At 49.8% G+C, this 22523-nt stretch overlaps 1 protein-coding gene across 9 annotated transcripts in view, besides 12 other annotated features; it reads right to left on the minus strand.

Annotated features, from left to right (window-relative positions):
- Window positions 1-22523, minus strand: part of CCND3 (cyclin D3) — a 115103-nt gene that overhangs the window by 87387 nt on the left and 5193 nt on the right. For 2 of the 9 annotated variants that reach the window (NM_001287434.2, NM_001424055.1), the window contains exon 2: window positions 7690-7871. The exons of the other annotated variants lie outside the window; for them this stretch is intronic. The gene's annotated coding sequence lies outside the window, so the exon portion shown is untranslated. The remainder of the gene's footprint in view (window positions 1-7689; window positions 7872-22523) is intronic. 9 annotated transcript variants of the gene reach the window in all.
- Window positions 5886-5945: an enhancer, noted in NCBI's record as "active region_24534". NCBI's record gives its function as "activates an Ori minimal core promoter by ATAC-STARR-seq in GM12878 lymphoblastoid cells {active_cell/tissue: GM12878}" and the evidence as "EXISTENCE:reporter gene assay evidence [ECO:0000049][PMID:35858748]".
- Window positions 6186-6245: an enhancer, noted in NCBI's record as "active region_24535". NCBI's record gives its function as "activates an Ori minimal core promoter by ATAC-STARR-seq in GM12878 lymphoblastoid cells {active_cell/tissue: GM12878}" and the evidence as "EXISTENCE:reporter gene assay evidence [ECO:0000049][PMID:35858748]".
- Window positions 6232-6526: an enhancer, noted in NCBI's record as "tiled region #14060; HepG2 Activating non-DNase unmatched - State 10:DNaseD, and K562 Activating DNase unmatched - State 5:Enh". NCBI's record gives its function as "activates a minimal TATA promoter and a strong SV40 promoter by Sharpr-MPRA in HepG2 and K562 cells {active_cell/tissue: HepG2 | K562}" and the evidence as "EXISTENCE:reporter gene assay evidence [ECO:0000049][PMID:27701403]".
- Window positions 6232-6566: a biological region, named in NCBI's record as "Sharpr-MPRA regulatory regions 12575 and 14060".
- Window positions 6272-6566: an enhancer, noted in NCBI's record as "tiled region #12575; HepG2 Activating non-DNase unmatched - State 10:DNaseD, and K562 Activating DNase matched - State 5:Enh". NCBI's record gives its function as "activates a minimal TATA promoter and a strong SV40 promoter by Sharpr-MPRA in HepG2 and K562 cells {active_cell/tissue: HepG2 | K562}" and the evidence as "EXISTENCE:reporter gene assay evidence [ECO:0000049][PMID:27701403]".
- Window positions 6306-6355: an enhancer, noted in NCBI's record as "active region_24536". NCBI's record gives its function as "activates an Ori minimal core promoter by ATAC-STARR-seq in GM12878 lymphoblastoid cells {active_cell/tissue: GM12878}" and the evidence as "EXISTENCE:reporter gene assay evidence [ECO:0000049][PMID:35858748]".
- Window positions 7828-8589: an enhancer, noted in NCBI's record as "H3K27ac-H3K4me1 hESC enhancer chr6:41997885-41998646 (GRCh37/hg19 assembly coordinates)". NCBI's record gives its function as "activates a minimal SCP1, AML or CMV promoter by ChIP-STARR-seq in primed H9 embryonic stem cells {active_cell/tissue: H9 hESC(primed)}" and the evidence as "EXISTENCE:reporter gene assay evidence [ECO:0000049][PMID:30033119]".
- Window positions 7828-8832: a biological region, named in NCBI's record as "skeletal muscle cis-regulatory module in CCND3 intron".
- Window positions 8338-8832: an enhancer, noted in NCBI's record as "ENSG00000112576_6:42106373-42106867 (NCBI36/hg18 genome assembly) insert fragment". NCBI's record gives its function as "drives selective reporter gene expression in differentiated C2C12 myotubes {active_cell/tissue: C2C12}" and the evidence as "EXISTENCE:reporter gene assay evidence [ECO:0000049][PMID:22144875]".
- Window positions 17302-17523: a silencer, noted in NCBI's record as "fragment chr6:42007359-42007580 (GRCh37/hg19 assembly coordinates)". NCBI's record gives its function as "represses an EF-1alpha promoter that drives an FKBP-Casp9 reporter gene in an ReSE screen in phorbol 12-myristate 13-acetate-treated (for megakaryocytic differentiation) K562 erythroleukemia cells {active_cell/tissue: K562(+PMA)}" and the evidence as "EXISTENCE:reporter gene assay evidence [ECO:0000049][PMID:32094911]".
- Window positions 21139-21639: an enhancer, noted in NCBI's record as "H3K4me1 hESC enhancer chr6:42011196-42011696 (GRCh37/hg19 assembly coordinates)". NCBI's record gives its function as "activates a minimal SCP1, AML or CMV promoter by ChIP-STARR-seq in primed H9 embryonic stem cells {active_cell/tissue: H9 hESC(primed)}" and the evidence as "EXISTENCE:reporter gene assay evidence [ECO:0000049][PMID:30033119]".
- Window positions 22351-22400: an enhancer, noted in NCBI's record as "active region_24537". NCBI's record gives its function as "activates an Ori minimal core promoter by ATAC-STARR-seq in GM12878 lymphoblastoid cells {active_cell/tissue: GM12878}" and the evidence as "EXISTENCE:reporter gene assay evidence [ECO:0000049][PMID:35858748]".

The raw sequence follows: 22523 nt of genomic DNA on the forward strand, positions 1-22523 counted from the left end.
AGTGAATGAAGAAATGAATGAACAAATGATTGGATCCCAGGTTGGTAAAGAAAACCTCTCAGCACACACAAAAAGGGTGGAGGATGGAGGCGGGGAGGAGATGTAAGAATAAATGGAAAATAAAACAAACAATCGTTGTATTACCACTTCCTCTGGGGCTGGGTCATGGTTTTTAACGGTGTGCAGCGGGCACATCCAGTGTGGTACAGGCACATCCACAAAGAGAAACAAAGAGCTATTTATTTACTTCCTTTGAGGGGTAAATAAAGATCAGGTCAAAACAGGCTCCCCCCAACCGCCAGGGGGTCTTCCCCAGGTGTTGATGCAGCACTTGGCCTGGAGCAGTCACAGGTGGCCTCTGCTTGTGTGTCATCCCGCCTTCCTTTACACATGCGTGGGTCTGGCTCGCAAGGGAGGCCCCATGTGCAGTGGGGAAGTAGCGTAAGGGGAAAGGTGGCAGGGCAGGGCTTCCTCACCCCTCCGCCAGTGCAGCCAGGGCAGCAACATTTATACCACCAGGAGAGAGATGGGAGAGTCAACAAGTGGGATGGCGCTGGCCTAAGAGCTGGCTCGGGGTGCTGGAGGCCCCATGCTGGGCCAGGCAGTAGATATGCAGATGGCTGCATCTTGTGGGGATAGGACTAAGAGGGGGACCATGTACGGGTACAGCCAATCCCCATTATTCATGGAGTCTGTATTTGTGAATTTGCCTCCTTGCTAAAATTTGTGACCCCGAAATCAATACTTGAGGTGCTTTGTCATCTTTCACAGACATGCGCAAAGCCATGAAAAATTTGAGTCACCCAACATGCATGTTCCTGGCTGAGGTGGGACAGGGCAGTGCTCTGCCTGTTTCAGCTCTCGTAATGTAAACAAGTGTCCTTGTCACAGTCTACTTAGTGCCACCTTTTCTGCATTGCTGGGTTTTTTGTTGATTTCGCTGTTTGAAATGGCCCCCGAGCCTAGGGCTGACGTGCTGGCGAATGTTTCTAAGTACAAGATGACTGTATGCGCCTTACAGAGAAAATACATTAGATCAGGTTTGTTTGGGCATGAAGTATCGTGCTGTGGGGCATGAGTTCAATGTTAATGAGTTAACTATATATTCAATAAGGTGTCTTCAAACAGAAACACACAGAAAACAAAGTTATGTATTGATTAGTTGATGAAAGTCTTGTGACCAGTGGCTCACAGAAACCTAACCCTGTATTTCCCCTAGGAGCAATGGGCCAGTGTTCACCAGTTTGGTGTTCGTGGTGACTGTACAGAATATAACTGGTGAGAATAGCGAGAACTGGTAGTATTTAAATATTATAATAACTAGGGTAGCCGTATCCTTTGGGTACCTGTGAATGCCAGTCTGTATCTACTCATCCATCCGCCATCTATCATCTATTAAACACTAAGTACAAAATCCAACACTAAAAGCAAAAAATACAGGATGCAAGCAGGGTCCTGACCCTGTCACTGACCATCTTAACTGTACAATGGGGGAATCTGTACGTTAAGACTGACTCTGAAGGTTTTATTATTTTATTTGGCTTAGATATCCCTAGGTTGATATACTAGCATTGGGGCCTAAAAGTTTTGCCAGTGTTTACATCAGGCAAACACCTGTGTCACAATAACAGCCTAATACATACACTTATTAGGGCCAGGCACTGTTCTGAGTGCTGTACGTGCATAAAGCCTCCTAACAACTCATGTAATCCTCCTAATAGCCCTGTAAGGTGGATACTATTATTATCTCCAACTTACAGATAAGGGCACTGAGGCACAGAGAGGTTAAGAATGCACCCCATGGCTGGGTGCGGTGGCTCACACCTGTAATCCCAGCACTTTGGGAGGCCGAGGCAGGTGGATCACGAGGTCAGGAGATGGAGACCATCCTGGCTAACATGGTGAAATCCCGTCCCTACTAAATATACAAAAAATTAGCCAGGCATGTTGGCGGGCACCTGTAGTCTCAGCTACTTGGGAGGCTAAGGCAGGAGAATGGCATGAACCCAGGAGGCGGAGCTTGTAGTGAGCGGAGATCACGCCACTGCATTGCAGCCTGGGTGACAGAGCAAGACTCAGTCTCAAAAAAAAAAAATAATAATAATTCACCCTGATAACACAGCTGGTGTGTGGAAGAGGCAGAGGGGTTTATGCGCCTCCAGTGACATGGAAGGAGAACCTGCATCTTGTGAGGATCTCAGTCCACCCTCAGTGATGAGGAGGGTCCCTCTCCTTAGCCATGCCACTGGCACTGTTCAGTAGCAGGAAAGCATGAAGTGACATTGCGAGGCTGGGGCCACTCAGAAGTCCAGGCAAGCAGGGCAGGCATGGTGGCTCACGCTTGTAATTCCACCATTTTGGGAGGCTGAGACAGGTGAATCACCTGAGGGTAGGAGTTTGACACCAGCCTGGCCAACATGGTGAAACCCTGTCTCTACTAAAAATACAAAATTAAGGGGCCGGGCGCAGTGGCTCATGCCTGTAATCCCAGCACTTTGGGAGGCTGAGGAGGGCAGATCACCTGAGGTCAGGAGTTCGAGACCAGCCTGACTAATAGAGAGAAACCCCGTCTCTCCTAAAAATACAAAATTAGCCCAGTGTGGTGGTGCACACCTGTAATCCTAGCTACGTGGGAGGCTGAGGCAGGAGAATCGCTCGAACCCAGGAGGTGGAGGTTGCAGTGAGACGAGATCATGCCACTGCACTCCAGCTTGGGTGACAAAGTGAGACTCCATCTCAAAAAATAAAGTCAAATAAAATAAAATAAAAAAGAAATCCAGGGAGGAAAGCAGGGCCTGCATGAGGCCATGCCTTGGGGAATAAAGTGAGAGTGACCCATGCACGCAGGCAGACAGAAGGTCTGGGATCTAACTGTGAGAGGAAACAGGGAGCCTGACAGCTCTCCGAGCAGGCCAGGGCAGGGGGACCTCTCTTCCAGCAAGGCCAAGAGGGGCCCAGGAAGCCAAGCCCCAGGGAGAAGTCTGAGAGACCAAGGCCTCACAGAGGAAGTGTCTCCACAGAGATTTCCAATTGCCACGCCACCTTCTTTCCTGGAGCAAAGAGGTGCAGTTGGTGAACTAGGGCCACGGGTAATGGGAAGAATGGGAAGGAGAGATCCCATCCAACCTGGAACACTGGAGGGACAGCTAGAGTTGGAGGAGGGGTGAGTGAAGACATCTCCCCTCAGCTCACAGAAGAAGTCACACACCTCACCAAACTGAGAAAAATCAGATTCCACGCCTGGTGTGAGAGGGAAGTGAAACCGCACCTCCAATGCTCCACTGCCCTCCCCTCCGGCACTCTGGCCCATCCTGCACCCCGGCCGCCCCACGATGGCGGGCTCAGAGGTGAGGGCCTATCAGATGCATTCATGGGCTCCCTTAGGGCCTTTTGGGCTCTGAGTCACAAGGGTGGCTCTCTCAGAGCTGTGATGGCCTGGTCTCTCCTCCCCAGGGAGGCAGAAAGGGAACCAGGGAAAACAAGGCTTATAAGCTACAGAGGTAAGGGACTGTGCCCATCTTGTTCTTTCCTTTTTCACACACACGGAACATGGTACCCGGTGTATCCATGGTAAGCACTTAATAAACAGACACTGAGCGGATGAGTGAATTAATGAGTGAGTGAATGAATGAGTCAGCACTGGACCCACAAGGCTGCCTGTCAGCCTCTAGCCACATGGAGATTCCCACCTCCAGAGAAGAGCTCTACTACGTATGTTCCCCAAACTCCCTGTCAGCTAAATGTGACCTGTGACCAACTGGTGATCAAAGGGATAAGCTATCTGTCAATTGTTAGGTCTCGTTTGAAAATAAACCTCTTTTTCCCCTATTTTTGACAAACCTTGACCTCCCTGCCTCGACCCTGCTCACATTACATTTGACCTTCTCAACGACCTCTCTAAGGGATGGAGACATGACCCTCCTCTACCTCATCAGAGAACAGCACAGACCCTCTCCCCCCGCCGCCCCCCTGCCAAGGGGAAAATATGGTGCTCCTCAATGAACCTCACCCTGATCCTACAGGGTGCTCCTGGAAGAAGGGCTCCATGATGACCTCCAAGGGGCCTCTGGTCAAGGCGAAGGAGAATCAGACCCTCCACCTTTGACCAGAGGGGAGGGAGTCCAGCGTGAGGGCATTAGCCAAGGGGGTTCTGGTCCCTCTGCTCTAGGCCCCTCACAAAAAGAAGTCCAGCTGGGAACATTTTTCTCCCAGCAGGTCCCCATAGGAAAGCCATCCTCACCCACATGACACAGGCTCCCCATACCCTTCTCATCTAGATCTCATGGCAAAGATTGCCAACTGTCCCCTAAAATCCACTTTCCCTTCTTGTACCTTTGGTACTAGAAGCTCCACTATGTATGTTCCCCAAACTCCCTGTCAGCTAAGTGTGGCATGTGATCAGCTGGTGACCAAAGGGATGTCATCTGGCAACTTTGAGGTCATGCTCTGAAAAGGAAGGGCAGTGCCTTTTCTTTCTCGTCACTTTCCTCCCTCCCCACTGGCTGGCTGACGGACCCAGCAGCCATGGTGGGATGCCATCTCCCACACGCAAGGGCACAGGAGGGGCTTGGGCCCTCAACACCACCAAGGGGTCAGATCACCCACCCGGATCTGTATGGGAGAAATTTCCATTTTGCTAAGCCACTCTTGTTGGAGTCTGTGTTACAGCAGCCTAACCTCCCCTAGTTCCTATCCCAGCCCATTCTTTGGTGCCAAGATGCTGATGGGTAAAGGCGTGAAAAAGGGGCCTTGTCCTCATCCATGTCTCCAGCCCTTCACCTCCATCAGGTCAGCTTCCCAAGTGTCTGAGTGCCTTCCAGGTGGTTAAGACACCACTAGGCCGGGCGCGGTGGCTCATGCCTGTAATCCCAGCACTTTGGGAGGCCGAGACGGGCAGATCACGAGGTCAGGGGATCGAGACCATCCTGGCTAACACGGTGAAACCCCATCTCTACTAAAAATACAAAAAAATTAGGCAGGCTTGGTGGCAGGCGCCTATAGTCCCAGCTACTCGGTAGGCTGAGGCAGGAGAATGGCGTGAACGCGGGAGGCAGAGCTTGCAGCGAGCCGAGATCGCGCCACTGCACTCCAGCCTGAGTGAGAGAGCGAGGCTCCATCTCAAAAAAAAAAAAAAAAAAGACACCCGACTCCACCCCCACCTAATGCCAAATGAGGTTGGAGGTGAATGTCTCTCTCACCATACCCAATTTATTCCTCCCTCGAACTGACCATTTCTCAATTGCGTATCTCCTTCCCTGCTCAGGAAACCACTGTACTCAGGCCAACCCAACCCATGGGGAAGGTGGTAAGGAGGGCAGAAAGTGTGTGGGCTTAACACCAGAGCCCAAATCTCCTCCTCACTGCTCACCAGCTGTGTAACCCTGGACAGATCTCTTAGCCTCTCTAAGCCTCAGTTTTTTTTGTTTGTTTGTTTGTTTGTTTTTGAGACAAGAGTTTTGCTCTTGTTGTCCAGGCTGGAGGGCAATGGCTCAATCTCAGCTCACGGCAACCTCCGCCTCCTGGGTTCAAGCAATTCTCCTGCCTCAGCCTCCCAAGTAGCTGGGATTACAGGCTCCTGCCACCACACCCGGCTAATTTTGTACTTTTAGTAGAGACGGGGTTTTTCCACGTTGGTCAGGCTGGTCTCAAACTCCCGACCTCAGGTGATCCGCCCACCTTGGCCTCCCAAAGTGCTGGGATTACAGGCGTGAGACACCACGCCCGGCCGCCCGTTATGAAATGGGGGTAAAAATTGCTTACAGGTTTGTGGAGAGAAGATTACAAACTTGTAAAGTCCCTAGCACTGTGCCTAGCATGTGGTAGGTGCTCACTAAATCGTGGCTGCTCTTACTATGATGCTAAGCATGGGAATACGGAGGACACAGCTGGAGAGGAGACCTGATGACCTCCCTGGTGGAGGGTGGCCAGGGAAGGAGTGGAAGAGAGAGCTGGGGAGAGGAAACTGTGGCCATAAAGAGGAAGAGAGAGGCAGAGCTGGAGGTGACATCAGGGGAGAGAGAGGAGTGGGTTCGGCGATGGCCATGCTGGGCGAGGTGTGGAGAGCACAGCTGTGCTATCTATCAGCTGCCTCCAGCTCAGACAATTCCTGTGCCCATCTCATTTTTGTCTGCCCATCGCCTCTGCCGGGTTGGACACCCTTACCACCACGGTCACCGTTGCCACACTGTCGGCTGCTATTTCTTGCCTCATCTTCCTTCCTGCTCATGATATGGCAGAAGGTGGCAAGGGAAGCAGCTGCCCTCCGCCAGCAGCCTCCCTGCCACTGAAGGCTGAAGCTGTCCACAGGCATGGGTAAAGAGCTCAGGCTCCAAAGACAGATGAGCTGGGTTCCGTTCCCAGCTCTAGCACTTAGGAGCGGGATGACCTCAGCAAGGGAGATGACTCAGCTAAAGCTTCAGTTTCCTTATCTGCACAGTAGGGATAACAGGGCTGTTGAGAAGAAGGAATGAGATTATGCGTGGTAAGCACCCAGCCCAGCACAATGTCTGGCACACAGCAAGTGTTCAATACACGTTCGTGTTCGCTATTTTCAAGGCCAAATAGGTTTGTGACCTGTGCAGCCACACAGGGTCCCATGCTCAGGACGGGTCCCAAACTTGGTTAATGCTCTGTCACCACCACCTTGAAACGGTTTTTTTTTTTTTTTCCTAAGAGACAGGGTCTCACTCTGTTGCCAAGACTGTAGGATTGCAGTGGCATGATCATAGCTCACTGCAGCCTCGAACTCCTGAGTTCAAGTGATTGTCTCACCTCAGCCTGCTGAGTAGCTAGGAATACAAGCAGGCACCACCAGCTATTTTATTTTTTAATTTTTTTTTTTTTTATTATTTTTTAGAGACAGGGTCTCACTATGTTGCCCAGGCTGGTCTCGAGTTCCTGGCCTGAAGAGATCCTCCCGCCTTTGCCTCCTAAAGTGTTGGGATTACAGGCATGAGCCACTGCACGCAGCCTTGAAATTCTTAATAGTTTTTGAACAAGGGCTCTGCAAACTATGTAGCTAGTCCTGGCTATTATTAACATATATTTATTGAGTCTGCTGGCTGGCAGTGGCTATAGAAGGGGACACCTGTCCAGTAGTTTGTTAAAGATGTGGGACATTAGACGGCCTTGGGAGCCTCAAAGGAGGGATTTAAATACAGTGATGTGGCACCATGCCAGGTTGCCAGCAATTAGAGACTAAGAGGGCAGTGAGACCCCCACACATACTCTCACTGGGGCCGGGCACAGTGGTTCATGCCTGTAATCCCAGCACTTTGGGAGGCCGAGATGAGCAGATCACCTGAGGTCAGGAGTTTGAGACCAGCCTGACCAACTTGGTGAAACCCCATCTGTACTGAAAATACAAAATTAGCCAGGCATGATGGTGCATGCCTGTAATCCCAGCTACTTGGGAGGCTGAGGCAAGAGAATCACTTGAACCTCGGAGGTGGAGGTTGCAGTGAGTCAAGATCACAACATTGCACTCCAGCCTGGGCGACAAGAGTGAAACTCTGTCTCAAAAAAAAAAAAAAAAAAATTCCTCTCACTGGGCACTGGGGATGGATGGGGGTGCCCTCCCTGCAGACAGCCAGGACAATGGGCAGCCTCTGGAATGCACCATGCCTCCCTATTTCAACCATTCTCCCACCAAGGGCAAAGATGTCCAATGTACCTGAGGCAAACACTCACCCATCTGCCCTGTGGGTCCAATCCTCTGTGCAACCAGGACAGAGGCCATGCACAGCTCAGGAATACAGGTGTGTCCACGGAGGCCTACATCTTCAGGATATGGAGGGACACGTGGTAAACCAGTGCTGCCCCAAAGCCCCTAGGTGCCCATGTCCATCTGGGTCTTGCCGCTCAGGTTGGAGCTGGTATGGGGGTAGCACAGAAGAAGGGGTGCTCATTATACTTGTGGTGGCCTGAGGGATTGGTCCAGCTCCAGGAGACAGAAATATCTGCTCCTTCTCTTAAATTTTAAATCCCAGGGTAGTATGTCTAGAAAGTAATATGGGGTGTTTGGGGCAGTGACTTGAACCCTCAGGAAATATGGAGCCTTCTGGTTGTTCTGTGGAGCTGGGGATACCCCTAGATACTATGATGAGGCTATGATGAGGCATGACCTCCCAGAGCTGTGCAGAGACCACCTCAGGAGGCACATCTGGTACCTGCTGTCTGTCTCCCCTACTGGACTGTGGGCTCCTGGAGGGCAAGGCCCACCCACAGTGAGGCTGACCAGATGTGCACAGACCCGGCCTCCAGGACCACTCCACTGTCTCCTCTCCATGCCCCAGGTCCTGCCTCGCCTTCCCCAGACTCACCACCACAGCCTGGCCCTCTTGTGTTCCCAGGCCTTCCTGGAGCGGCCCAGGGGAGAGTCTGAGGGTGGCCCAGCCCGGCAGGTGGAGTCCAGCCTGGAAGAGGCCCCTTTCCATCTGCCTCCGGCCACCTGTCCTGAGTACTCACTCCTTCCAGACAGCTGGAGAGCGGCCCCAGAGCCTCTGGCTCAGGGGACTGGGGGAAGGAAGGCAGCTCTAAGGGAGCTGAGCCAAGGCTGGAGGGGAGGCCCCTGGAGCGGGTGGGAACACTGAGTGTGCGTGGATGGGGGTGGGGTGCAGGAAGGCACTTGGGAGAAGTGGGAATTGGGGGTGGGGTCAAAGAGTGGAATGTGGAGCTCATTCTCCTGGGGGCACAGCTGTTTATTCTGATCTCCCTCTTCAGCTGCTGCATGTTCCTTATCTTGGGGCTCAATCCAGACTCCACCTCCTCCTCTGTTGCTGAGCTGGGGAGGCAGACTCTATGGGAGACTTCCTGCTCTGGCCACCTTAGTTCCCCGCTACATCCTGCTAAAAGGGACAAGGGGGAAAAGCAGGCCTCAAAAAGAAATGTGTGCTCCACTTCAGACCCACTCTGTGCCCATCCGTAGGTTATTGGGGCTTGAAGCTGAGTCATCTGCCCCTCACCTGACTTCACCCACCCCTAACTGCCATGACAACGGGAGCCGGTCACCCCAGAGTCACCTGGATACTTCACAACTTTACTGGTGGCCCAGGACTTGCAGGGCTGGAAGATAGTGCAGGCTTATTGGAAACGTGGGGCAGAGGCGGCTGTGACCTCACAGGGTACTTCTCTGGGCCTTCACACTGTACTCCTTCCTGCCAACTTTACTCTCGGCACCTACTGTCCCCTGTGAGATGCTATTAAAGTAAGAAGACTAATTTTCCAAATACTTATGGAAACACAACTCATGACATGTTTTTGATTTTTCATGAACATTTCAAAAAGTGAAAAAAGCACTAGAAAAACAAAACCCTTTTAGTTCTGCTCCCCCAAGAAATAACCACTGTTAACACTGTGGTATATTTCCTTCAAGTCTTTGTGTGTGTGTGTCTAAAATACAGAGTTGTAAATATATGTACAATTTTGCATCCTGATTTTTCTCTTAACGTTACCATATAATTTTCATGTTACCACATATATTTTGCAACTGACTCTTTTTTTTTTTTTTTTTTTGAGACAGAGTGCAACGGCGCGATCTCAGCTCACTGCAACCTCCGCCTCCTGGGTTCAAGCGATTCTCCTGCCCCAGCCTCCCAAGTAGCTAGGATTACAGGCACGCATCATCACACCGGTCTAATTTTTTGTATTTTTAATAGAGACGGGGTTTCACCATGTTGGTCAGGCTGGTCTCAAACTCCTGACCTCAGGTGATCCACCTGCCTTGGCCTCCCAAAGTGCTGGGATTACAGGCGTGAGTCGCTGCACCTGGCCGACTCTTTTTTAAGAGACGAGGTCTTGCCCTGTCACACAGGCTGCAATGCAGTGGTGCCATCACAGTTCACTGAAGCCTCAAACTCCTGGGCTCAAGCGATTCTTCTGCCTCAGCCTCCTGGGTAGCTAGGACTGCAGACACATGCCACCACACCTGACTACTCTTTTTTATTTCTTGTACAGATGGGGCCTTGCTATGTTGTCCAGGCTGGCCTTGAACTCCTGGCCTGAAGCGATTATCCTGCCTTGGCCTCCCAAACTTCTAGGGGTTACACACGTGAGCCACCACACCCAGCTGACAAGGTTTTTTCTGCACTTAGAATTATTTAATTAGGACAGAGGCTGGAAAGTGGAATTACCAAGGCAGAGGCCTGGGATCTTTTGCAGGCATTTGATTTCAATACCTATGGCCAATTGGTTTCTGAAGATGGAATTTAGCACATGAGAAGGCCACAAGCCGGGCACGGGCACGCCCGCCTAGACTGCCATGTTAAGTATACCACTCACAGTGAGGTATCTTTTTAATGTGCCCATGTCCTGTTACCTTTGGTAGACTTTATTCTTCTCTGGCTGTTGGGTGTCCAGCCCCCTCCCTGACAGCACAGCCACTTCCCTCTGGGAGTTCCGTTTCCCCTATTGTAAATCCAGGAGCCAGGCTGCCTGACCTGTACCACAGAAACCTACCCATTTCCACGATGTGCAGACTGGCAGAGGTAACAGCCAGCTGCCCTCATCTTCCTGTAGTTCTCTCTTTCGAGCCCCTGGCACTTTGTCCATTTCCAAGCCTGGTTCTGCAGCTTTCCTAGTGAGTCTATGAGTTTCTGACCTTCTTCTAATACATTCCCTTTGCCTTATATTAGTCAGTCCACTTCTGCTGATAATAGAACTTTGAGAGTGATGCCTCCCCAACTTAGTGCTTTTTAAATGGCAAGTCGTTTTACTGTTCATGAAGTCATGAAGCTAATCATGACCAGCACGTTTTAAAAATGAAACAGCAAAATAGAATTTTAAAACATCAAAAGTATATCAACTGTGGCCAGGGTAAGTATTGTTCAGTGAGTCTTGTTTTATAATATATTGGCCGGGCATGGTGGCTCACGCCTGTAATTCCAGCACTTTGGGAGGCCGAGGCAGGTGGATCACCTGAGGTCAGGAGTTCGAGACCAGCCTGGCCAACATGGTGAAACCTCCTCTCTACAAAAACACAAAGTTAGCCGAGTGTGATGGCGCACACCTGTAATCCCAGCTACTCGGAAGGCTAAGGCGGGAGAATCACTTGAACCCGGGAGGCAGAGGTTGCATTGAGCTGAGATCACACCATTGCACTCCAGCCTGTGTGACAAAGCGAGACTCCATCTAAAAAAAAAATATATATATATGTGTATATATATGCACACATACACACACACACACACGCACACATAGATGTGTGTTTGTATGCATGTGTATAAAATGAGTTAAAATTAAAACATTTCAGCTGGGTGCAGTGGCTAACACCTGTAATCCCAGCACTTTGGGAGGCTGAGGCGGGCAGATCACCTGAGATCAGAAGGACGAGACCAGCCTGACCAACATGGAAAAACCCCGTCTCTACTAAAAATACAAAATAATTAGCTGGGCATGGTGGTGCATACTGTAATCCCAGCTACTTGGGAGGCTGAGGCAGGAGAATCACTTGAAAATGGGAGGTGCAGGTTTGGAGGTGAGCTGAGATTGCGCCATTGCACTCCAGTCTGGGCAACAAGAGCGAAACTCCGTCTCAAAAAAAAAAAAAATTAAAACATTTTTAATTTAATTTTAATGCCTATAATCCCAGCACTTTGGGAGGCCAAGGCTAGAGGATCACTTGAGGTCAGGATTTTGAGACCAGCCTGGGCAACATAGAAGAAACGCTGTTGCTACCAAAAGAATTTTTAAGTTATCCAAGTATGGTGGCATGCACCGGTAGTCTTAGTTACTGGGGAGGCTAAGGTGGGAGGATCGTTTGAGCCCAAGGCTGTGGTGAGCTACGATTGCACCACTGCACCCCAGCCTGGACTACAGAGCAAGACCCTGTCTTTTTTTTTTTTTTTTTGAGATGGAGCCTCGCTCTTGTTGCCCAGGCTGGAGTGCAGTGGTGCGATCTCGGCTCACTGCAACCTCTGCTTCCTGGGTTCAAGCAATTCTCCTGTCTCAGCCTCCCTAGTAGCTGGGATTACAGGTGCCCGCCACCACACCCGGCTAATTTTTGTATTTTTAGTAGAGACAGGGTTTCGCCATGTTGGCCAGGCTGGTCTTGAACTCCTCACCTCAGGTGATCCACCCGCCCTGGCCTCCCAAAGTGCTGGGATTATGGGATTACAGGCGTGAGCCACCGTGCCTGGCCAACCCTGTCACTCTTTTTTTTTTTTTTTTTTTTTTTTTTTTGAGATGGAGTCTTGCTCTGTTGCCAGGCTGGAGTGCAGTGGTGCGATCTCGGCTCACTGCAACCTCCGCCTCCCAGGTTCAAGCAATTCCCCTGCCTCAGCCTCCCGAGTAGCTGGGACTACAGGCTCGTGCCACCATGCCCGGTTATCTGTGTGTGTATTTTAGTAGAGATGGGGTTTCACCGTCTTGGCCAGGATGGTCTCAATCTCCTGACCTAGTGATCCGGCCGCCTCGGCCTCCCAAAGTGCTGGAATTACCGGCTTGAGCCATTGCGCCTGGCCGACTCTGTCTCTTAAACAAATTTTTTTTCTAGTTTTGAAAAACATTGCCCTAACTGAACTTAAGTTACTTGAGAATAAAGAACAGAGCAATCCTTCCTAGATGTTTTTTATATTTCTCCTCAAATCTTTAGTACCTAGAAAAATACACTTCCTTGCCAAGAGTGCTATATTTCAAGGTCCACCCATTATTTCCCCCCATTCATAGCCTGACACCTTTCCCTATTCTTCAGTTAATGATGGTAAATGGTAATGGCCATCTTTTCCTCCTGGTTTAAAACTTGTTAATGCAACCAATATTCTGCCAGTCATCCAGGCTGAAAGTTCAAGGGTAGTCCCTGATTCTTCTCATTCATGCTCTTCCTGGAGCACAGGGCCTATTAGGAGAGAAGGAATGCCAGCAGCAAACTACAGCGCAGGGCAACCTACTCCCTTGCGGAAGCATGCATGGTGCCTCACGGGGGAAGGGCAGAGGACTCTTCAGATCTTCCTACCAAATAATTACTAATTTCCATTGCTTCTACTTTCAAAATAGTTTCCCAGCTCACCCCCTTGTTTCCATTTCTACTGGCGTCACCCTAGTTTCTTTTCTTTTTCTTTTTTCTTTTTTTGAGACGGAGTCTCACACTGTCGCCCAGGCTGGAGTGCAGTGGCTCGATCTCGGCTCACTGCAAGCTCTGCCTCCTGGGTTCACGCCATTCTCCTGCCTCAGCCTCCCGAGTAGCTGGGACTACAGGTGCCCACTACCACGCCTGGCTAATTTTTTGTATTTTCAGTAGAGACGGGGTTTCACTGTGTTAGCCAGGATGGTCTCGATCTCCTGACCTCGTGATCCGCCCACCTCAGCCTCCCAAAGTGCTAGGATTACAGGTGTTAGCCACCGTGCCCAGCTAGTTTCTTTTCTTTTCTTTTTTTTTTTTTGAGCCGGAGTCTCACTCTGTCTCCCAGGCCAGAGTACAGTAGCGCGATCTCGGCTCACTGCAACCTCCACCTCCAGGGTTCAAGCAATTCTCCTGCCTCAGCCTCCCAAGTAGCTGGGATTACAGACACCCGCCACAACGCCTGGCTAATTTTTGTATTTTTAGTAGAGACGGGGTTTCACCATTTTGGCCAGGCTGGTTTTGAACTCCTGACTTTGTGATCCCCCCACCTCGGCCTCCCAAAGTGCTGGGATTATAGGTGTGAGCCATCACTCCCGGCCTAAAAATTATTATTATTATTTTGGGTTTTTTTTGAGACAGAGTCTTGCTCTGTCACCCAGGCTGGAGTGCATTGGCCCAATGTTAGCTTGCTGCGCAACCTCTGCCTCTCGGGTTCAAGCGATTCTGCTGCCTCCACCTCCCAAGTAGTTGGGATTATAGGCATGTGCCATCATGCCCAGCTAATTCTTGTATTTTCAGTAGACATGTGGTTTCACCATGTTGGCCAGGCTAGTCCTGAACTCCTGACCTCAAGTGATCCATCTGCCTCGGCCTCCCAAAGTGCTGGGATTACAGGTGTGAGCCACCATGCCTGGCCTAAAAATTATTATTTATATATATATATATATAAAATATATATATGGAGCCTTGCTCTTGTTGCCCAGGCTGGAGTGCATATATACTATATATATATATATATATATATATATTTTTTTTTTTTTTTTTTTTTTTTGACACAGGGTCTCCCTCTGTCACCCAGGCTGGAGTGCAGTGGCACAATCACTACTCACTGCAGCCTCCACCTCCCAGGTTCAAGCAATCCTCCCACCTCAGCCTCCTCCTGGTCTACAGGCGCACACCACCAAGCCTGGCTAAGTTTTGGGTCTTTTGTAGAGACAAAATTTTGCCATGTTGTCTAGGCTGGTCTCCAACTCCTGGGCTCAAGTTATCTGCCCGCCTTGGCCTCCCAAAGTGCTGAGATTACAGGCATGAGCCACTGTGCCTGGCCAGTCCTCTCTTTTCTAATGAGATACCTGCCTGAGGCCAAATTTTCTTCATATACATCAATGAAAACATATTGCAACAGATTAAATCAGAAACTGATGAAAATCCAGCTGTCTTCTATGAAGTCAGGCATTAACGAGATTTGCAAAAATGTAAAACAAGGCTATACTTCTCATTATTTTTGTTTTGGAAAATAGTTTTCATTTAAAAAAATACAATGCTTATGGATTTTTTGTTTTGTTTTGTTTTGTTTTTTTGAGACAGACTCTTGCTCTGTCACCCAGGCTGGAATGCAGTGGCGTGATCTCAGCTCACTGCAAGCTCCGCCTCTCGGGTTCACGCCATTCTCCTGCCTCAGCCTCCCGAGTAGCTGGGACTAAAGGTGCCCGCCACCACACCTGGCTAATTTTTCTGTATTTTTCAGTAGAGACAGGGTTTCACTGTGTTAGCCAGGATGGTCTCGATCTCCTGACCTCGTGATCCACCCGCCTTGGCCTCCCAAAGTGTTGGGATTACAGGCGTGAGCCACTGTGCCCGGCCGTTTTGTTTTTTTTTTTAAGACGGAGTCTCGCTTTGCCACCAGGCTGGAGTGCAGTGGCACGATCTCGGCTCACTGCAACCTCTGACTCCCTGGTTCAAGCGATTCTCCTGCCTCAGCCTCCCAAGTAGCTGGGACTACAGGCATGCACGACCATGCCCAGCTAATTTTTGTATTTTTAGTAGAGACGGTTTTCAACATATTGGCCAGGATGGTCTCAATCTCTCGACCTTGTGATCCGCCCGCCTCGGCCTCCCAAAGTGCTGGGATTACAGGCGTGAGCCACCGCGCCTGGCCAAAAAAAAATTACAATGCTTATGTTAACATGCAATGAGTTTCTTATTGTTACTTTAAATAAATTAATATTTAAAATTTCTCATATCAAATTTTTTATCAGAAACAAAATAACAACAGGTATAGGGAGGGACAAGTCAAAAGCTTATATTATTTATTCCAGGGAATGCCATGTCGGGTGCACCGATTATTAGGTATAGCCTAAAAAACAAAAGTTCTGGCCAGGCATAGTGGCATGCGCCTGTAATCACAGCACTTTGGGAGGCCGAGGCGGACGGATCATGAGGTCAGGAGTTCAAGACTAGTCTGACCAAAATGGTGAAACCCTGTCTCTAATAAAAATACAAAAATTAGCTGGGTGTGGTCGCACATGCCTGTAATCCCAGCTACTCAGGAGGCTGAGGCACGAGAATCGCTTGAACCCGGGAGGCGGAGGTTGCAGTGAGCCGAGATTGCGCCATTGCACTCCACCCTGGGCGACAGAGTGAGACTCGGTCTCAAAAAAAAAAAAAAAAAAAAGTTCTTTGGGATCCTCAATAATTTTTCAGAATGTAAAGTGGTCCTGAGATCAGAAGGCTTAAAAATTGCTGCAGCAGACCTAATATGTCAGTCTCTAAAATGCCCAATTCCAAGCCTGGTTATCTAGTTCTTGGTATTCTTTACCCTTATTCACATTTTTACCTCTTGGCCCCATTGTGCTGCTGGATTTTTTTTAACTATATTAGGGCAGGGTGCAGTGGCTCACATCTGTAATACCAGCACTTTGGGTGGCCAAGGTGGGCAGATCGCTTGAGCCCAGGAGTTCAAGACCAGCCTGCGCAACATGGCAAAACCCTGTCTCCACCAAAAATACAAAAAATTAACTGGGCGTGGTGGCTTGTGCCTGTGGTCCCAGTTACTTGGGAGGTTGAGGCAGGAGAACTGCTTGAGCCCAGGAGGCAGGAGCTGCAGTGAGCTGAGACTGTGCCACTACACTCTAGCCTGGGTGACAGAGTGAGACCCCATCTCAACTAAAAAAAAAAAAAAGCAAGAAGAGGGCATATCAAAAATAATCATTGTTCTACAAATAATAGTGATTATAGAAATAACCACTAGTTCTTTTAGAAATAAGAAATAATCAGTAATACTATAGAAAAAGAATAAGAAATAAGCCTAATAATTGCCATAGAAATAACATAAAAATTATTTCTATAATATGGCCTTCAGTAAAAAACTCAGAACATTCAGAAGAGTAAAAAGACCCAAAAGCAACCACCATTTAAAACTGCTCCGGAATAATTTCTCATCTAATCCATTCTTCTTTTATCTCCTCAAATGGCACCTTTGAGAAGAAATTCCTGGTTAACCCATGCAAAAGCAACCACTCCTTCCTCCAGATTCCCACAGCATTGTAGTTGAAACCTTTCTTGAGGCCCAGCTAGACCATAAAAGTATGCATACTGAATTCCTAAATGTGCATATTTAACGGTCATAAATTCAGTTATATCTACTGGAAGAGACACCAACCAACCACAGAAACCTATGTACTATTTATATGATGTGATCCCTTCACCCAGGCTTAACATAATGCTTAACCAAAGACCAGAGCCTGTGTTCCAACAAAAACTGGCCATGCTGAGGAATCTTAGAAATGGAAGAGAATGTCCAAATCATGTATCCTGTGTTTTATGAGCAGTCTCTTTAAAATAGAGACTTTAATAGTAACTTTGATGTGTGTCTTGTTTTTACACTGACTTTGAACCCAACACTGTGTCAAATGTGGCTCCACTACATGAAGAATGGACAAGTGAATGGTTCCAAGGCCTCTGAGACTTACAGATGTTGGATGAATATACTAGGTGACTGAGCCCAGGAGTCCTCGACCCATGTAGTCCTGTCCTCTGGACAGGGTATGTGGCATCCCCTCTAGGCCAGGGCTGCCACCCATTGCTGGGTGAAGGTCTCAGGTGTCACTTGAAGGCCAAGGTGAGAGGTCCTGCACTAGGACCCAGCTGAACCACCCCCTCCAGACTTACGCTCTCAGCTGCTGGCCTAATCGCACACTCCTCCCAAAGCCTGAGTCTCATACAAGAGCGAGGAAAGGAAAATGAGCATTGAAGGGCAGCTGGAGGAAAAGCTTGTTTGCACCATTGCCGCAGTTGGGGTGGCTGTGGTTGGGCTGATTCAACCAGAGCTCCCCAGATAGGTTAGGGCCCAGCCCCACCTAGCAGAGCTCACATTCACCACCACCCACTCCTGCTTCCGGGGCTGTGTGTGACACCTGATCTTCCTGCTGTGGCAGGGCTGGGGCACCCTTGCTCCCTCCCTTCCACCTTCTTGGCTTAGTGGACAATCCTAAAGCACTGGCCAGAAGGCACTGGGGGATCCAGGATGCTCTGGGCTTGCCCGGGGGGATTCGTGTCAACACCATCACATCTCCGTGCATCCCTGCATGTCACGCACACAGGCAGTCAGGGGCCTACCAGCCTGCTCTACTAGTCCTGAGACTGTGTACGTGACAATGTCTCAACAGGGAACCCAGTGTAATCTCACACTTGCCCTGGTAGGTGGATACACATGTGCACACACACGTGTGTGGTGCACACAGTGTGCATGAAAAGTCTGAACCGGGCACAGTGGCTCACGCCTGTAATCCCAGCACTTTGGGAGGCTGAGGCGGGTGGATCACCTGAAGTCAGGAGTTCAAGACCAGCCTGGACAACATGACGAAACCCTGTCTCTACTAAAAATACAAAAATTAGCTGGGCATGGTGGTGGGAGCCTGTAATCCCAGCTACTTAGGAGGCTGAGGTAGGAGAATCACTTGAACCTAGGAGGTGGAGGTTGCAGTGAGCTGAGATCGTGCCATTGCACTCCAGCCTGGGCAACAGAGCGAGACTCTGTCTCAAAACAAAAACAAAAACAACAACAAAAAAGAAAAGTCTGACTGAGGTCAGAGTTATTTCAGCCACCAGGCTCTCAATACAACCAGCTATATGACTTTGGACTAGATACTTAACCTCTGTGCCTCAGGGGCTTTATCTGCAAAATAAAAAACCTCGGCCAGGCACAGTGTCTCATGCCTGTAATTCCAGCACTTTGGGAGGCTGAGGCGGGTGGATCACAAGGTCAGGAGTTCCAGACCAGACTGGCCAACATGGTGAAACCCAGTCTCTACTGAAAATACAAAATTTAGCTGGGTGTGGTGGTGGGTGCCTCTAATCCCAGCTACTAGGGAGGCTGAGGCAGAGAATTGCTTGAACCCAGGAGGCAGAGGTTGCAGTGAGCCGAGATCGTGCCACTGCACTCCAGCCTGGGTGACAGAGCAAGACTCCATCTCAAAAACAAACAAACAAACAAAAAAAAAACAAAAAAAAAAACCTCATAGAATATGTTTGTGAGGAATAGCTGAGAAATGGGTTAATAAATATCCATACTTATTATAAACTGACTTATGTACAAATGGCATACAGGATATGGCAGCACTTACAACAGCCCCTGGCACATGGAAGTGTTGTGTAAAGATGCACTATTATTATCACCAACATCTTGAGTGCCATGTGTCTGGGAACACATGAGGATTCAGAGAAAAGCCACACAACAGATTCCCACAAGAAGCACCAAAAAATGACTTCTAGAACCTGTGTCAGAGGAAAGGCAGAGAAGAAACAGGGGGGAGGAAAAACTTTCTGAGGACCACCCAGGAGGCACCCAGCTCAAGTCCAGTGACTGAAAAAAGTTTTAAGAACCCAAAAGGCTGGGCCCAGGCCGGAAAAGGCTGTACCCTCGGAGATCAAGGGATATGAGAGAAAAACTCAGTTGGGTCCTAGAGGTAGAATTCAAAGAAAAGATGGGAGTTCCCCCAGGACCAGCAGGTACCAGCTGACTGGAAAGAAGGAAGAGAAGGCCTGGAGAAAACTAGCATGTTCTATGCCCTGGCCTACGCTCAGTCACTCAGTACATCTGAGGGCTTGTAACCCCAGGATGAAAATAGATGCCACATTTGAAGAGTCTCCAAGTTTGTGGTTCTATAGCAGACACCGCTTACAGAAAAGACAATGGAGCTGGGAGGAAAGGAAAAGGCAGCCTTGCATCCTAGGGGCCGGCTGCTGGGAGGAAACAGCACTCCTCCCCTCTATAACCCAAAGACAGCTTTGTGATAGCCACTTGCCAGAGTAGAATAAACCTCCCCTGGGCCTTATTCCCAGTGGATTCCACAGCACCCAGCATGGCAAAGCTTAACAAACCAGAGCTTAAGACTTTGCGAATAATAAACAGACGTCTTCCCAGGGACAGGCAGACTGGGGGCCCTCTGCGCCTCATGCTCCTGCCCCGGGCTGGTCCTCCCTCCTCCATCTGGAGCCCAAATTGGAGCTCAAGGTCTGCATCTGTCTGAGGCCCCTGCTCCGGCTTCCTTTCCCAGAACTCAGGGACCTCAGGGGAGGTGGCAGGGAGGAACAGCAGAGAAGGAAGAGAACAGAGAACAAGAGGGAGGGTGAGTTGGAGCAGCAAAAGCTGGGGCCAGAACTGGGAGTTTCTGGGACAGCCCCAGCTTCAAATATTCTGTCCAACTGTCTGACCACAGGCCAGAGCTTGTGGACCGATTTTTATTTTAGAAAAGAGGATAACATGAAGCCATAGGTGGGATGGTGAGGAAAGAAACCAGGGCTGTCTCTTTGGATCTAGATGGCCCCATATCCACCCCGAGGACCTCTATCTGGGAGACGATGATGCCCATGATATGGTGATAATGACAGCAGCTATCACTCAAAGGACGTATGGCCTGCCCACCACTCAGCAGGGCTTTGTGTGTACTGCCTCATAATCTTAGGGAAGCGTAGGCTCGGAAGTGGGTTTTTTTTTTTTTGAGACGGAGTTCCGTTCTTCTTGCCCAGACTGGAGTGCAATGGCGCGATCTCGGCTCACCACAACCTCTGCCTCCTGGGTTCTAGCGATTCTTCTGCCTCAGCCTCCCGAGTAGCCGGGATTACAGGCATGCGCCACCACACCCAGCTAATTTTGTCTTTTTAGTAGAGACGGGGTTTCTCCATGTCGGTCAGGGTGGTCTCGAACTCCTGGCCTCAGGTGATCCACCCGCCTCAGCCTTCCAAAGTGCTGGGATTACATGAATGAGCAACTGCGCCTGGCTGGAAGTCTTAATCCTGCAGTCTCTCTGCCTCCCCTGTGCCTCAGTTTCCTTATGTATAAGAAGCAGAATAATAATGCCTCCCTCATGGTCTGCCGTGAGGATGCAAAAAAGACACCTGACATATAGTAGGCATTCAACTAATATTGGTTATTATTAATTCTCACCATTACCCAGAGAGGTGGGGTCTATAGTTATGCCCATTTTACAGACAAAGAAACTTTCACACAGCCAGAAAGGAGCTGAGCTAGGACTCGAAGTGGGGTCGTTTGTCTGTAGAGGCTCTCTCGACCACTCCATGAGAGATGGCACAGATTAGTGGTTACATGCACAAATGTTACAGCCAAATGGCTGAGTCAGACTTCCAGCTCAGCCACAGATGGGCTGTGTGTAAGGAAGCAAGCTGCTAGACCTCTCAGTACCTTGGTTTGCTCACCTGCAAAATGGGTGTCTCTGGCCAGGCACAGTGGCCCACGCCTGTAATTTCAGCACTTTGGGAGGCCGAGGCAGGAGGACTGCTTGGGTCCAGGAGCTCAAGACCAGCCTGGGCAACAGGGTGAAACTGCAAAACACTATCTCTACAAAAAACTAGCTGAGTATGCTGGGCGCGGTGGCTTACACCTGTAATCCCAGCACTTCGGGAGGCCGAGGCGGATGGATCCTGAGGTCAGGAATTCAAGACCATCCTGGCCAACATGGTGAAACCTCGTCAAAGATACAAAAAGTTGGCAGGGTGTGGTGGCGGGTGCCTGTAATCCTAGCTACTTGGGAGGCTGAAGCAGGAGAATCACTTGAATCTGGGAGGCGGAGGTTGCAGTGGGCCAAGATCGTGCCAATGCACTCCAGCCGGGGCGACAGAGTGAGACTCCATTTCAACAAAATAATAAAAAATTAGCTGAGCATGGTGGCGCCACGCGTGTTGTCCCAGCTACTCAGGAGGCTGAGATGGGGAGATCAACTCTGCCTGGGAAGTCGAGGCTGCAGTGAGCCGAGATCACGCCACTGCACTCCAGCCTGGGCGACAGAGTGAGACCCTGTCTCAAAAAAATCAGGGTGTCCTTGCTCATTCTGGGCTCTGCCTCTGTGTCCCTGGAGGCCCAGTGGCTCTGTGCCTCTCTAAAGGTCTGAGGGGGCAGCAAGCAGATCTGGGCCAACGACGGAGGTACCAGCAACCGTCTCCTTCCAGAGATAACCCCTCAGCCCTCACCTCAGGAACGACTGTCCTGGGGAATTTCACCCAGGGTGGGAGAACTGGTCAGGCCACTGAGTGCAAATAGTTTCAGAGAGGTGGGGCTCCTGAGGCCCCTTCCGGGAGATGACACAGGTGTCATGCCCTCTGAAGGGCATAAAAGGCCATGCCACATTAGCTACCCTGCTGGCTCGCAGGGCCGTCGGTCCTGCCCTCTGCTCTGGGCACACGGGTCCCTCTCTCTCAAAGGGAAAGGACAGTCAGGAAGGGGAAAGAGAAGATGTGGAAGAAATCCCTGACCTGGGGACGGGTGTATGCCGCAGAGGCGGAGGCCTGCACGTTCTGGCCGGAGCCTGGACAAGACAGAAGAGCACCTTTTACGGGGGCTTTGCTGGATCAAAAGCAGTTCTCTGGGCCCCGGTGTGTAAACAGCTGGTGATGGGCTGGGAGCAGAGGCTCCCTGAAACCAGTCAGCGCCTGAAGAACCCGGCAACACTCTTCATTCACCCAATCCAGTCACCCCAAGGTGACACACGGGGCAACAGCTCCACCTGGTGGACGATCAGGGACTACCACGGGCCAGGGAGTATGGGAGAGCAAAGAATGACATAGAAGAGGAAAGCAGGGGGAAAATCACATCAGGGGTTTACAGGCGAAGGGGCTTTGAGGTCGTCTTGCTGGCAGAGGCCCCTCTTATAGCATGAGCTCTAAGCCCCATTTGTTAGAAAGTTCTACGTTTTTTGAAAATCTGCCTCCACTAGTCCCACTAACCCCCTACTTCAAGGTTTGCCAGGGCAAACTTTTAAATATTTGCATACAGCTATAGTATTCCTCCTAAATCTTCCCCTTTGCTGCAATCTTCCAGAATTTGACCTGACCTCTCACCTCCTGCATCTTTTTTTAACTTGGCTATCTTTTCTTTCTTTTCTTTCTTTCCTTTTATTTATTTATTTATTTATTTGAGACGGAGTCTCACTCTGTTGCCCAGGCTGGAGTG

Source organism: Homo sapiens, chromosome 6, assembly GCF_000001405.40.
Source record: "Homo sapiens chromosome 6, GRCh38.p14 Primary Assembly".
Lineage (NCBI taxonomy): Eukaryota > Metazoa > Chordata > Mammalia > Primates > Hominidae > Homo > Homo sapiens.